The sequence below is a fragment of the Homo sapiens genome, chromosome 13 (genome assembly GCF_000001405.40).
Source record: "Homo sapiens chromosome 13, GRCh38.p14 Primary Assembly".
NCBI classification, from domain to species: domain Eukaryota; kingdom Metazoa; phylum Chordata; class Mammalia; order Primates; family Hominidae; genus Homo; species Homo sapiens.
Window position 1 is genome coordinate 108,177,986 of NC_000013.11, and position 1,063 is coordinate 108,179,048.

Here is a 1,063-nt window from a genome sequence, read left to right on the forward strand (position 1 = left end):
CACAGTTATGAGGACTCACTAGATGGCCTCTTCATCAGGGCAGTTGGATATCTTACACAATGGTTCAGATCCTAATGAGAGGTGAAGCCAGCTGGGTTTCTGGATTGGGTGGGGACTTGGAGAACTTTTGTGTCTACCTAAAGCACTGTAAACGCACCAATCAGCACTCTGTAAAAACACACCAATCAGCACTCTGTGCTTAGCTAAAGGATTGTAAACGCACCAATCAGCACTCTGTAAAATGGACCAATCACCAGAATGTGGGCAGGGCCAAACTAAGGGAATAAAAGCTGGCCACCCGAGAAAGCAGCCGTAACCTGCTGGGGTCCCCTTCCACGCTGTGGTTGGTTTGTTCTTGCACTCTGTGGAAGCTTTGTTCTTTTGCTCTTCACAATAAATCTTGCTGCTGCTCTTCTTTGGGTCCGCACTAACTTTGTGATCTGTAACACTCACCGCGAGGGTCTGAGGCTTCATTCCTGAAGTCAGCGGGACCACAAACCCACCAGGAGGAGCAAACAACTCCGGAAGCACCACCTTTAAGAGCTGTAACACTCACTGCGAAGGTCTGTGGCTTCACTCCTGAAGCCAGCAAGACCACGAACCCACCAGAATGAAGAAACTCTGGACACATCTGAAGGAACAAACTCTGGACACACCATCTTTAAGAGCTGTAACACTCACCACGAGCGCTGGTGGCTTCATTTTTGAAGTCAGTGAGACCAAGAACCCACCAGAAGGAATAAATTCCGGACACACTAAGACCAAGCTGCTAGCCTTCACACAGGTGAGCATAGAACTGGAATCATGTCCTTTACAATATATTCTCTTAGTCAAAGCCTTCATAGTCCAGCCAAGGTCCAGGGAAGGAGAGATGGTCTTGGACTTTTCTCGACGAGAATGCCAAGGGTGTGCAGTCGTCCTGAATCACCCACAGTGGTTGTAAGACAGCAAATCAGCTTCCCAGAACCTGTGCACATCTGTACACCTCTTGAGAAGAGGAGTAGCAAGGACTGGAATATTCATATTGATTGTTTTCCTTTAAAAATCTTCAAGTTGAATTTAT

General features: G+C 47.2%; 1 annotated feature.

Moving 5' to 3' along the window:
• Positions 585-707: a silencer, noted in NCBI's record as "fragment chr13:108830918-108831040 (GRCh37/hg19 assembly coordinates)". NCBI's record gives its function as "represses an EF-1alpha promoter that drives an FKBP-Casp9 reporter gene in an ReSE screen in phorbol 12-myristate 13-acetate-treated (for megakaryocytic differentiation) K562 erythroleukemia cells {active_cell/tissue: K562(+PMA)}" and the evidence as "EXISTENCE:reporter gene assay evidence [ECO:0000049][PMID:32094911]".